The sequence below is a fragment of the Homo sapiens genome, chromosome 5 (assembly GCF_000001405.40).
Source record: "Homo sapiens chromosome 5, GRCh38.p14 Primary Assembly".
NCBI lineage: Eukaryota > Metazoa > Chordata > Mammalia > Primates > Hominidae > Homo > Homo sapiens.
Genome location: NC_000005.10, coordinates 148,886,623 through 148,901,226, shown reverse-complemented (window position 1 = coordinate 148,901,226; position 14,604 = coordinate 148,886,623). Strand labels below are relative to the sequence as shown.

The following is a 14,604-nucleotide window of genomic DNA, read 5'->3' as shown; positions in this document are numbered from 1 at the left end:
CTCACCTTCTACTTCAAAAGGGTCATCATAATCTTTCTCTACTTCCTTATCTCACATTTGCTCCTCCACCCACTGCGGTCAGTCCCCCCATTCCGCTGAGTATGCTTGGAGTGCTAAATCCAAATCACTTTTCTCTTCTCATCTTACTTGATGCCTTAGTAGTATTTATCATGGATCATCATTCCCTTTTCTGGAAACATTTTTCTGGCTGCTGTGAAATCATGCTCTCCTTCGTTCCTTCTTCTCTGGCCATGCCTTCTCTGAGACCTCTGTTGGCTCCTGCCTCATTCTCTCTCTTGATGTTTGAATGCCTCAGATCACTGCTCAGCTTCTCTATCTCCTCTTCATCCAGGTAACCTCATCTGGCTCCATGGTTTTACTTATCATACATATGTGAGAATTCCTAAAATTAAACCCAATCTTAACCTCTCCTTTGGACACCATTTGTATCCCATTGGATGTTCAGCTTCTTCTCATGTATGTCTGATGGGCATCATAAATTTGGCTTGCTGAAATGGGAATTCTTGGTTTATCTTCCCAACATATGTGCTTTTTCCTAGTGTTCCACAATCCCTAAGTTGTTCAAATCAAGTCTTGGAATTTTCATGAAGTTCTCTTTCCCTTTTTCCTCTATATCTGATCCATAAACAAATCCCTCCAAATTATATCCCTAGTATTCCCAGTCTTCTCTAGTTCATGCCACTGTTATCTCTGGTCTGGATTTAGGCACTCATTTTCTAACAGATCTTCCTGCTTCCATGCTTGCTTTGCTATGATCCATTCTCTTCAAAGCAGGCAGAGTGACTTTCTCAAAACATAATCATGTCATGTCATTCTCACCTGCCTAAAAATTCTCTAGTGGCTTTCCTATTCAACTTACAGAAAATTCAAACTTCTTCCCAGTTTAGCAATCCCTCTATGTTCTGGCTGCCTCCTACCACTCTGACTTTAATTTGTACCACTCTTTCTCTGGCTCACTCTGCTCCACCATACTGACCAAGTGCTGTTTCACAACCAGAACAAGTTCCTTCACGCCTTAGGGCCTCGGCACTTTGTTCCTTCTGCCTGGAACACGTTCCTTGTCATGTGGCTGGCCACTTCTTGTCCCTCAGGTCTTAGCTTGAAAGTCACCTCTTTCTGATCATCTAATCTGAGCTAGCCAGATAGTCACTTGTAATCTCTTACCTATTTTAATTCTCTACATTTTACTTATTACTATCTGGTATTTTCTTAATTGATTTATTCATGTATTCATTGATTTTCTTACAGCCAATATCGCCCGACTAGAATACAGACAACATGAGAATATGAGCTTATCTTTTTTATTTACTATTGAGTGCTCAGGGTCTAGAAGAGCACCTAGCACCTAGCAAGCAGAAAGATTTCAGTAAATATTTGCAAGAAATTGGGTATTTGTAAAAATACTGTAGGAGATGGAAACTTTGAATTCAACTTTGACCCTAAATCAAATATTAAGTCATTTCCTTTATTAGACTTTTATTTTCTTACTTTTTAAAATAAGAGATGCTCTCAAAGCTAGTCAGTCATCCTCGTGTCCTCTGTCACCATAGATTGGGTTTACCAGTTTTTGAAATTTCTTATAATGAAAACGAACATTAGATACTCTTTTATATGTAGCTTTTTGACTCGATGTTCTGTGAAATTCATTTATTTGTTTCATGTAGGAATAGTGCATCTTTTCCATTGCTATGTACTTTTGGCGTTTGAATATATCAAAATATATGTAGTCATTCAAAAAAAAAAAGGAGGGTGATGGTGATGACAGACAAGACCAGCGGTTTAAAAACTGTGTTCTACAGAAGCTCCTCTTCCTCTCCAGGACTGGCATAGTTGGAGGGCCAAGCAAGTGAGGCTTCAGCATCCTCTCCTCTTCCCTTTTTCCCCTCCAACCAGAATGGTAGTTGGGCCATTCTGGTTTTGTTTATTTTATAGATGAACCTTGGGTCATCCGGGTGTTAGGTCAGATTGCATTTATAAAAAAAAATTATAAAAATGTTTCTGCTGTCTAAAAGAATATCCTTTAACTCAGCTATTAATGTCAGACATTGGATTTTGAGCTCTTCTACCTTTGAGCTGTATGACTTAAGTGAATTAATCACTCTGTGCCTGTATTTCCACAAATGTACACATGTGGTATCAATAATAATGTTAGGTTAGGTTACATGAGCTAACGCATGTAAAATGCAATAAATTCTAGCTGCTATTATTATTATTATTATTTTGTCATTGTCATCATCTACTTCACCATCCTTGCCTGGGGCACTTTCCCCTCTGCTGATCTATGTTAATTTGAGGCTTTGTTGTAGTCACTCAGCCTGGGCTCCCATTCAGTGGAAAACTGGATGCCTCCTACTTCTATTCCTAGCAGCAGGATGGGGTATCCTAGTTGGGTCTCCTGGCTTATCCCACCCAGTGCACCAGAAATAAACCAACTCAAACTTGAATGCCTGGGAAAAAGCTGCTCTGCTCCTTGCCAGACCACATTTCTCAAAGAGAAGAGGGAAGGAAAAAAGAAGACACAGTCTCAGTTAAGCTCCTCAAGTACAGTGTGAACCCGACACTCCTAAGGTGTCCAAGTCAGGTTCCAAAAACTAATGGGTTATCCACAGATGTCAGTACAGATACCAAGCTTGAGTTTCATTTTTCATTTCATCACAGGATGACCTTGGCCAAGTCATTATGTCATCATCACAGGTTCTCTGGATTCATTGACATCCTATTTCCCCACTAAGCATTACCTGGGTAGATTGAAGTGTTGTGCATTTGCCAACAGGCAGTTGGGAGATGGGATAACTGCGTAGCAATGTGCAAAACGCAGATGTTAGGTAGAAGACTGAGCCTTGTATGATGTATTCCTGAGGGTCCGGGATCCACAGGGAAATCTCAGGGCATAAAGGAAGTACACCAGATCATAAAAAGCCATGCCCCAGGATGTGTTCCCAGGCCGCTAGAGAAGTAGGTAGTTAGAGTCATTCTCAGTTGCTCTGGTATCTGTTTCACTGCCTGCCTTGGAAAATCCATCACCCCTTTCTCCCTTCTTTCTGGTGCTGGCTTCAAATAAGCAATTCGGTGAGGTCTTGCCATCAGAAATCAAGGCATACTGGCTTGCTGCACTTTTATTTGAGACTCACGTCAAACACTGACGTACTTACTGCCTAATGACTTTGGGCATTTTGCCATGATGGGAGTGGTGGTGGGGGTAGTGGTGGTTAAAAATTATGCTGTTTACAAGAGTAGTTTCCCACTGGTACTGTGAGGCGTGCACATCTTTCCGAAACGCCGAATTCCATATGCATCATGTTTCGTTTGTGTCTGGCTAGGAGGGCCATTACAGGGTTAGACTAGACATTAAAACAACGGGTCAGTTGTCTCTAAGTAAAGACAATACTGTTGTATAGCTTTCCTAATAAATGACAAAACCTGTGTTTGAATCCAGAACTATTCTTCAATTTCACCTTTTTTATTCAAGAGGTAGGACTGAATCTCTGCTCCACCACATAGCTCTGGGACCTTGGGCAAGTTTTTTCACTTTAGTTTCCTAATTTGTAAACCAGGGATAATAAAACCTACCTCATGCAATTATTATGAGTATTTTATTATCATTATTTTATTTCAATGCGTTTTTGGGCAACAAGTGGTGTTTGGTTACATGGATAAGTTATTTAGGGGCGATTTCTGAGATTGTGGTGCACCTCTCAGTTGAGCAGTGTACTCTCTACCCAATGTGTAGTCTTTTATTACCCCCTGACCTCCCACCCTTTCCCTCAAGTCCCCAAAGTCCATTGTATTGTTCTTATGCCTTTGCGTCCTCCTCACAGCTTAGCTCTCACTTATGAGTGAGAACATATGATGTTTGGTTTTCCATTCCTGAGTTACTTCACTTAGAATAATGGTCTCCAATTCCATCCAGGTTGCTGCAAATACCATGATTTTGTTCTTTTATATGGCAGAGTAGTATTCGATGGTATATGTGTGTGTGTATGAATATATATTTATATATATATATACTATATACTATATGTGTATATACTGTATACTATATATATAAAATATCACATTTTCTTTATCCACTTGATTGATATCTTTTTGTATAATGACTTCTTTGCCTTTGGGTAGATACCCAGCAGTGGGATTGCTGAGTCAAATGGTAGATCTACTTTTAGTTCTTTAAGGAATCTCCACACTGTTTTCCGTAGTGGTTGTATTAGTTTATATTCCCACTAGCAGTGTAAAAGTGTCCCCTTTTCACCACATCCACGCCAACATCTATTATTTTTTGATTTTGTAATTATGGCCATTCTTGCAGGAGTAAAGTGGTATTGCATTGTGGTTTTGATTTGCATTTCCTTGATAACTAGTAATGTTGAGCATTTTTTCATATGTTTATTGGCCATTTGTATATCTTCTTTTGAGAATTGTCTATTCATGTCCTTAGCCCACTTTTTGATGGGATTTTTTTTTCTTGCTAATTTGTTTGAATTCTTTGTAGATTCTGGATATTAGTCCTTTGTCAGATGCAAAGTTTGCAAACTCTATAGGTTGTCTGTTTACCCTGCTGATTATTTCTTTTGCTGTGCAGAGCTTTTTAGTTTAATTAAGTCCCATCAATTTATCTTTGTTTTTGTTGCATTTGCTTTTGGGTTCTTGGTCATGAACTCTTTGCCTAAGCCAATGTCTAGAAGGGTTTTTCTGATGTTATCTTCTAGAATTTTCGTGGTTTCAGGTCTTAGGTTTAAGTCTTTGATCCATCTTGAGTTGATTTTTATATACGGTGAGAGATGAGGATCCAGTTTTATTCTTCTACATGTAGCTTGCCAATTATCCCAGCACCATGTGTTGAATAGGTTGTCCTTTCCCTACTTTATGTTTTTGTTTGCTTTGTTGAAGATCAGTTGGCTGTAAGTGTTTGGCTTTATTTTTGGGTTCTCTATTCTGTTCCATTGGTCTATGTGCCTGTTTTATACCAGTACCATGATGTTTTGATGACTATGGCCTATGGTATAGTTTGAAGTCAAGCAATGTGTCTCCAGATTTGTTCTTTTTGCTTAGCTTGCTTTGACTATTTGGGCTCCTTTTTTGGTTCCAGTATTTAGCCATGGTTCCTAAAATTCCATGACTTTGGGGATTGTTTTTTTCTAGTTCTGTGAAGAATTATGATGGTAGTTTGTTGGGCATTGCATTGAATTTGTAGGTTGCTTTTGGTAGTATGGTCATTTTCACAATATTGATTCTACCCATCCATGAGCATGGGATGTGTTTCTATTTATTTGTGCTGCCTGTGATTTCTTTCAGCAGTGTTTTGTAGTTTTTCTTGTAGGAGTGTTTCACCTCCTTGGTTAGGTATATTCCCAAGAATTTTATTTTATTTTATTTTATTTTTTGCAGCTATTGTAAAAGGGGTTGAGTTATTGATTTGATTCTCAACTTGATTGCTGTTGGTGTAGGGCAGAGCTACTGATTTGTATACATTGATTTTACATCTTGAAACTTTACTGAATTCATTCATCAGATCTAGGAGCTTTTTGGATGAGGCTTTAGGGTTTTCTAGGTATACAATCATATCTTCTGTGCACAGTGACAGTTTCACTTCCTCTTTACCAATTTGGATGCCCTTTATTTCTTTCTCTTGTCTGATCGCTCTGGCTAGGACTTCCAGTACTATGTTGAATAGAAGTGGTGAAAGTGGGCATCCTTTTCTTGTTCCAGTTCTTATAGAGAATGCTTACAACTTTTCCCATTCAATATAATGTTGGCTGTGGGTTTGTCATAGATGGCTTTTATTACCTTAAGATATGTCCCTTTTATGCTGATTTTGCCAAAGGTTTTAATCATAAAGGGATGCTGGGTTTTGTCAAATGCTTTTTCTGAATCTATTTAGATGATCATGTGATTTTTGTTTTTCATTCTGTTTATGTGGTGTATCACATTTATTGACTTACATATGTTAAACTATTCTGGCATCCTTGGTATGAAACCCACTTGATCATGGTGGATTATCTTTTCGATATATTGTTGGATTTGGTTCACTAATATTTTGCTGAGGATTTTTGCATCTATTTTCATTAGGGATATTGGTCTATAGTTTTCTTTTTTTTGTTGTTATGTCCTTCCCTGGTTTTGATATTAGGGTGACGATACTGGCTTTGTAGAATGATTAGGGGAGGATTCCCTCTTTCTATATCTTGTGGAATAGTGTCAGTAGGATTGATACCAATTCTTCTTTGAATGTCTGATAGAATTCAGCTGTGAATTATCTTGTCTTGGATTTTTTTTGTTGTTGTTAGCAATTTAAAAATTACCATTTCAATCTCATTGCTTGTTTTTGGTCTGCTCAGAGATTCTATGTTTTCCTGGTTTAATCTAGGAGGGTAATATATTGTCAGGAATTTGTCCATCTCCTGTAGGTTTTCTAGTTTGTGTGCCTAAATGTGTTCATAGTAGCTTTGAATGATCTTTTGTATTTCTGTGGTATCAGTTGATATCTCCTATTTTGTTTCTAATTGAGCTAATTTTGATCTTCTGTCTTCTTTTCTTGGCTAATCTCAGTAACGGTCTATCAATTTTGTTTATCTTTTCAAAGAGCCAGCTTTTCATTTTATTTATATTTTGTATTTTTTGTTGTTGTTTCAATTTCATTTAGTTCTGTTCTGATCCTTGTTATTTCTTTTCTTCTGCTGGATTTGGGTTCGGTTTGTTCTTTTTTCTGTAGTTAGTTGAGATGTGACCTCAGATTGCCTATTAGCACTCTTTCAGACTTTTTGGTGTAGGCATTTAGTACTATGAATTTTCCTCTTGGCACCACTTTTGCTGTATCCCAGAGGTTTTGATAGGTTGTATCACTATTATTGTTCAGTTTGAATAATTTTTTAATTTTCATCTTGATTTTATTGTCGACCCAACGATCATTCAGGAGCAGGTTATTAACTTTCCATGAATTTGTACAGTTTTGACAGTTTCTTTTGGAGTTGATTTCTGATTTTATTCCCTTGTGGTCTGAAAGAGTACTTGATATAATTTCTATTTTCTTAAATTTATTCAGACTTGTTTTGTGGCCTACCCTATGGTCTATCTTGGAGAATGTTCCCTGTGCTGATGAATATGTATATTCTGCAGTTGTTGGATAGAATGTTCTGTAAATATCTGCCAAGTCCGTTTGTTCTGGGGTATAGTTCAGGTCCATTGTTTCTTTGTTAGCTGCCTTGATAACCTGTCTAGTGCTGTCAGTGGAGTATTGAAGTGCCTCATTATCATTTTCTTGCCATCTGTCTCATTTCTTATTACACCATGGGGTGTAATAGTAATAGTTTTATAAATTTGGGAGCTCCAGTGTTAGGTGCATATGTATTTAGGATTGTGATATTTTCCTGTTAGACCATTCCTTTTATCATTATATAATGTCCCTCTGTCTTACTAAACCATTGTTTTTGCTTTAAAGTCTGTTTTGGCTGATATAAGAATGGCTACTTCTGCTAACTTTGGGCATCCATTTGAATGGAATATACTTTTCCACCCCTTTACCTTAAGTTTATGTGAGTCATGTGTTAGGTGAGTCTTCCTGAAGACAGCATATGCTTGGTTGGTGAATTCTTATCCATTCTGCCATTTTGTATCTTTTAAGTGGAGCATTTAGGCCATTTACATTCAATGTTAGTATTGATATGTGAAGTACTATTCTACCCATCATGCTGTTGCCTGAATATCTTTTATTTTTCATGTTGTTATTGTTTTATAGGTCCTGTGAGATTTATGCTTTAAGGAGGTTCTATTTTGGTATATTTCAAGGATTTCTTTCCAGATTTTGAGCTCCTTTTTGCAGTTCTTGTAGTGTTGGCTTGATAGTGGCAACATCTTTCAGCATTTGTTTGTCTGAAAAAGACTGTATCATTCCTTCATTCCTGAAGCTTAGTTTTGCCAGATACAAAGTTCTTGGCTGATAATTATTTTGTTTCAGGAGGCTAACGATAGGACCCCAATCCCCTCTACTTTGTAGGGTTTCTGCTGAGAAATCTGCTGTTAATGTGATAGGTTTTCCTTTATAGGTTACCTGATGCTTTTGCCTCACAGCTCTTAAGACTCTTTCCTTCATCTTGACTTTAGGTAACCTGATAACTGTGTGCCTAGGCGATGATCCTTTTGTGATGAATTTGCGGAGTGTTCTTTGAGCTTCTTGTATTTGGATGGCTAGGTCTCTAGCAAGGTCAGGGAAGTTTTCCTTGATTATTCTCTCAAATATGCTTTCCAAACTTTTAGATTTATCTTCTTCCTTGTGAACACCAATTATTCTTAGGTTGGTTGTTTAACATAATCCAAAACTTCTTGGGGGCTTGGTTCATTTTCTTAAAATTATTTTTTCTTTGTCTTTGTTGGATTGGGTTAATTTGAAAGCCCACTTCAGGCTCTGAAATTCTTTCTTCTACTTGTTCGATTCTATTCCTGAGACTCTTCAGTGTATTTTGCATTTCTCCAAACATATCCTTTGTTTCTGGAAGTTGTGATTGTTTTTTATATATGGTATCTATTTTTCTGGAGATTTATCCATCCATATCCTGTATTATTTTTAAAATTTATTTAAGTTGGTATTCACCTTTCTCTGGCCTCCTTGAGTGGTTTAATAATTGACCTTCTGAATTCTTTTTCTGGCAATTAAGAGATTTCTTCTTGGTTTAGATCCATTGCTGGTGAGCTAGGGTGATCTTTTGAGGATGTTAAAGAATGTTGTTTTGTCATATTACTGGAATTGTTTTTCTGTTTCCTTCTCATTTAGGTAGACTGTGTCAGAGGGAAGATCTGGGACTCAAGGGATGCTGTTCAGATTCTTTTTTCCCACGGTGTGTTCCCTTGATGTGGCACTGTCCCACTTCCCCTAGGGATGAGGTTTCCTGAGAGCTGAAATGCAGTGATTATTATTTCTCTTCTGGGTCTAGCCACCCAGTGGAGCTACCAGGCTCTGGGCTGGCACTGGGGAGTGTAAGCAAAGAGTCCTGTGATCTGTGTTCAGGTCTCTGAGTCATGGATACCAGCACCTGCTCTGGTGGAGGTAGCAGGGGAGTGAAGTGGACTCTGTTAGGGTCCTTGATTGTAGTTTTGTTTAGCACCCTAGTTTTGTGTCGGTTGGCCTCCAGTCCGGAGGTGGTGTTTTGAAAAAAGTATCAGCTGCAGTAGTATAGGGAAGATGCAAGCTTGCCTTAAGGTCTTCTGGATAAGTATCTGGGTTTCTCAGGTGGTGGGTGGGACCATGGAGCTCCCAAGAGATTATGTCCTTTATCTTTGGAATTCAGTAGTTCTTGGAGCACAAGTTCATGATGTGAGTTCCACATGGTGCTCTATCCATCCGATGAGAGCTGCAAGCTAGTTCTGCCTCCTATCTGCCATTTTTTTCTCTCTGTTCTATTATAAGTATTAAATGAGATAATATATGGAAATATTTAGCATAGCACCTGACACAGAGTGAGTACTCAATATATGTTAAATGCTACTGCTATCACTGCTAGTAATTGAGAAACAGGAATAAGAAAAATAGGAAGATGAGAATTGAGCTCAGGCACATAACCTAGGCAGAGAAATGTCACCAAACTATAAAATATATACCCTGCAATCCAGCTGGCAGACTACATAAGTCTCCTTGCTCAAGTACTGAAACACAGAGGCCCATGTGCTGTCTAACACAGTGTCACCAAACCTTTTTGATCATGCACTCTATCAGTGAACCAATTTTAAGCTCTCCCCCACCATATATGTTTATTCATTTATAAGTTGCAAACATGCACTAATGTACTATTGTGTATATTATAAAATATCTAAAATATAAATTTTTAAAAGCTGAGAGACCAATAAATATCAAGGGGTCCTCCAATAGTTCCTCCTTTTTTTTTTTTTTGAGACTTCTTTGCTGGTCTGTCTGTGGGACTGGGTTTGAAAGAGGCCATTCTGAACCAAAAGACCATATAGACAAGGTAATCCTAAGCAAAACAGAACAAAGTTGGAGGCATCATGCTACCTGACTTCAAACTATACTATAAAGCTACAGTAACCAAAACAGCACGGTACTGGTACCAAAACAGATATATAGACCAATGGAACAGAACAGAGCCTCAGAAATAATACCACACATCTACAACCATCTGATTTTTTGACAAACCTGACAAAAACAAGAAATGGGGAAAGGATTCCATATTTAATAAATGGTGTTGGGAAAACTGGCTAACCATATGCAGAAAACTGAAACTGGACCCCTTCCTTACACCTTATGCAAAAATTAACTCAAGATGGATTAAAGACTTAAACATAAGATGTAAAACCATAAAAACCCTAGAAGAAAACCTAGGCAATACCATTCAGGACATAGACATGGGCAAAGACTTCATGACTAAAACACCAAAAGCAATGGCAACAGAAGTCAAAATTGACAAATGGGATCTAATTAAACTAAAGAGCTTCCACACAGCAAAAGAAACTATCATCGAGGTGAACAGGTAACCTACAGAATAGGAGAACATTTTGCAATCTATCCATCTGACAAAGGGCTAATATCCAGAATCTACAAGGAACTTAAATTTACAAGAAAAAAAACAACCTCTTCAAAAAGTGGGCAAAGGATATGAACAGACACTTCTCAAAAGAAGGCATTTATGCAGCCAAGAAACATATGAAAAAAAGCTCATCATCACTGGTCATTAGAGAAATGCAAATCAAAACCACAATGAGATACTATCTCATGCCAGTTAGAATGGTGATCATTAAAAAGTCAGGAAACAACAGATGCTGGAAAGGAGGTGGAGAAATAGGAACACTTTTACACCATTGGTGGGAGTGTAAATTAGTTCAACCATTGTGGAAGACAGTGTGGCGATTCCTCAAGGATCTAGAACCAGAAATACTATTTGACCCAGCAATCCCATTACTGGGTGTATGCACAAAGGATTATAAATCATTCTACTATCAAGACACATGCACACGTATGTTTATTGCTGCACTGTTCACAACAGCAAAGACTTGGAACCAACCCAAATGCCCAACAATGATAGATTGGATAACGAAAAATGTGGCACATATACACCAGGGAATACTATGCAGCCATAAAAAAGGATGAGTTCATGTCCTTTCCAGGGACATGGATGAAGCTGGAAACCATCATTCTCAGCAAACTAACTCAGAAACAGAAAACCAAACACCGCATGTTCTCACTCGTAAGTGGGAGTTGAACAGTGAGAACACATGGACACAGGGAGGGAAACATAACTTACTGGGGACTGTCACGAGATTGGGGGCTAGGGGAGAGATAGCATTAGGAGAAATATCTAATGTAGATGATAGGATTATGGGTGCAGCAAACCACCATGGCACGTATATACCTATGTAACAAACTGGCATGTTTTGCATATATATCCCAGAACTTGAAGTATAATAAAAATTTAAAAAATAAAATAAATAAATAAATAAATAAATAAAAAATCCATCTCAACAAAAGAAAAGAAAGAGGCCATTCTACCAGGCTCTCTGTTGCGAGGATCAAATGAAATAACACCCTTCATAAAGCAGTTATAAAGTTTTAGTTATGCTTATCATCATAGTTAGTTAAACCATGTATGCACACAACAATAAGAATGATAAAAAAAGTCACTTGAAAGTTACAGTTCAATGATAACACATAGAGTTATGCTTTGAAGAGTGCGTTTATCAAAACCTTCTTGAGAATCTATCACATGCCAAATGCCATTGTAAGAATCAGGGATTGAGATAAACAAGACAAAATCCTGGCCACTTGAGTATCTGGAGTTTTAATAGGAAAGCTACACCATTGTGAATAAATACAGAACCCTGTAACATGTACAGTGAAAGAAAACAGAAAATCAGAATGAAAGGAAGGAGTAGAGGCTCTCAGGGAAGGCTTCCCAAAATAAAGAATGCCTAGGTGTGGTTTTTCAAAGCTAAATAAGTATTCAACAGGAAAACAAAGAAGAAAGGGTGTTTGGGCTAAAAGCACAGAAGTGTAAAACGACCTCCACATTCAGCATTCTACCTGCTCTCTGGGATGTTGGGCATGGCTGACGTGTTGGATTGTGAGGGAACAAGGAGGCCAGAGATGATGTTAGAAAACATGGTCAAGGGCTAGGTCAGCAGGCCTTGTGCTTCTTGATGAAGTTTGGGCTGAAACTCAAGATGGAGGATGCATTAAAGTTTGTAGGAAGGAGAGTGGCATGATCAATCAGATTTGCATGTTAGAAGAATTCTTCTGACTATTCTGTGGAAGGAGGTTGTCAGCCACGAAGCAGGGAGGCTAGAGACTCCTTGAACTCCAGGAGAAGGGAGGTGAGCCTGAACTGACTCTGTAGGAAGGACAGTTAATGGCCCTGGAAAAGATGTGAAGAAATTGGAATTTAGGAGTTCATGGAATATACATAGCCCTCTCTGCCTCTTTCATCTATTCTGCAGGAAATTAAGTGAAATTCCGTCTTCTTTAGAGGCAATGAGACTTGGTTGGAGAATTTTCAAGTCTGAGGTCTGAAGAAACCAATGCCTCTGTCTGTTTTCCCCATAAGACTCTCCAAAGTTCACTGAAACTGTTCCCAAAAGGCAGTGTCCAACCTTCTCAGGGATCCTAGCCTATCAGATCAACAAGTCTGCATCTCCCACAGCTCCCAACTGTAGGACAAGGGCTGGATTCTTAGAGAGGACGGCAGGCAGCTCCATTTGATTGGTCTTGCTTTGCCCTATCAGGGAAGGGTCAACATGGGGCTCCCCAACATCAAGGATTGGCATCTCTTAAGGGAAGGTCACCCATTTCTATGTTCATTTAGTCTCTCCCGTTTCCTGGATTCCAAAATTTGAAGATGCTAGTCATGAAACCCACTTTCAGCTCTCCAGCCTCCTTTCCAACTTTACTCCACTGGTTAATGGCTCCTCATACCCACATTTTTATTTTTTGAAGTTTTAGTGGGGTATAGAAAATATTCAGAAAAATGTACAAATTGTAGGTAAAATTTTACAAAGAGATCACACTTGTGCAACCAGAACTCATATTAAGAAATAAGAAATTACCAGCATCCCAGTCTCCCTGCCATTGCTCCTTCCAGAGACCACATTCCCAAAGGCTAATGAATATTCTGACTTACAGCACCATAAATTTTTTCTGCCTGCTTTTGAGCTTTGTGGTTCATTAATTTTCATTGTTGTATAGTATTTTGTTGAGAAAATACACCACAATTTTTTCTATGGTTAAGTAGAATTTGATTAGTGTACAGTTTGAAGCTATTACAAGTAGACCTGCAATGAACATTTTTGTACATCTTATGGTGCTTACATGCATGTATTTCTGTTTGTTATACATCTAGTATCACAGGGTATGCATACATTCAGCTTGAGTAGTAAACTGATACTGCCAATCAGTTTTCCAATGTGGTTGCATAGACTTACAATACCACTGGCAGTGTGTAAGAATTCTAACTAATTCACATCCTTGCCAATACTTGAAACTGTCTTTTTTTTTTTTTTGGTTCTAGTCATTCTGGTAGATGTGTGATGGTGTCACATTATGATATTATTTGCATTTTTCTGATGACTAATAAAGTGTGAGATGACCACAATTCTTTGACTGGTTTAGGCATTTCATTTCTATTTCTCCCACTTCCAATTGTGCCTCAATTCACTCCAATTTATGCTGAACCCTAACTTCTCTCTATAGTCACCAATATCTCAGTCAGCTGTAACACAATACCTGTTCTCTTCCAGTTTTCCCTTGCATCACTAATGTATCAGTGTAGGCTGTTTCAAGTGCAAGTGTTCATCAACCCAAGTCAAACTGGTGTATGTGAAAAAAAAAAGCAAAAGAAAAAAAGAAACCCTTTAGCTCATATAACTAAAAGGTCTGCTGGTATATCTCAAGTGGTATAGCTTGACACAGAGCTCAAACAATGCCATCACCTTCTAGTTGTTCTCTTTTCACACAGTGTTGGCTCTATGGTCAGATGTAAGATGACTGCAATAGTTCTAGTTTTATATATTAATAGTTACAGGCTTAAGTTCCAAAGTAAAGATAAAGAGACTCCTTTTCCAAACTCAAACAAATAAAATGCCCTAAAATTGAGTCTTGTTGGCTCCGAATGGCCTGTTTGGGTCATGTGCCAATCCTGGAACCACTTGCCTGGGAGATTGGCTAAGGCTTGGGTAGTATGTCTAACCTGAAGGAGGAAGTGGAGTGGATCCACTCTGCTCAAACCAAATGGATTAAGAGTGGAGGCAGGTTGATTTCTCAGCAGTATAGTGGGGAAAAATTACCTGCAGGGTGAAAAGATGTTGGAAAGCAAATTCAGCAGTTATCTGCTACACTTGTTGGCCCAGTTCCAAGGCCAGAATCCTTCAGTTATTCTTGAGTTTTTATTCTCCCTCAGCTTCCACATCCATTAATTATGACTGCCCATCATTTCTACATCCTAAATAACTCCCTAATCCATCCATTTTATCACTACTTTTGCCATTCTAGTACAAGTAACCAATAACTTATCCTTTGACTCCTGGAATAATTTTCTATCATCCTTTCCTCTAAACTCTAAAATTAACAATAATAAGTAACACTTCTTGAAGGCT

The 14,604-nt window shown here is 38.2% G+C and overlaps 1 annotated feature.

Annotated features, from left to right (window-relative positions):
* Positions 2,915–3,115: a silencer, noted in NCBI's record as "peak5531 fragment used in MPRA reporter construct". NCBI's record gives its function as "represses an SCP1 promoter by STARR-seq MPRAs in K562 erythroleukemia cells {active_cell/tissue: K562}" and the evidence as "EXISTENCE:reporter gene assay evidence [ECO:0000049][PMID:32103011]".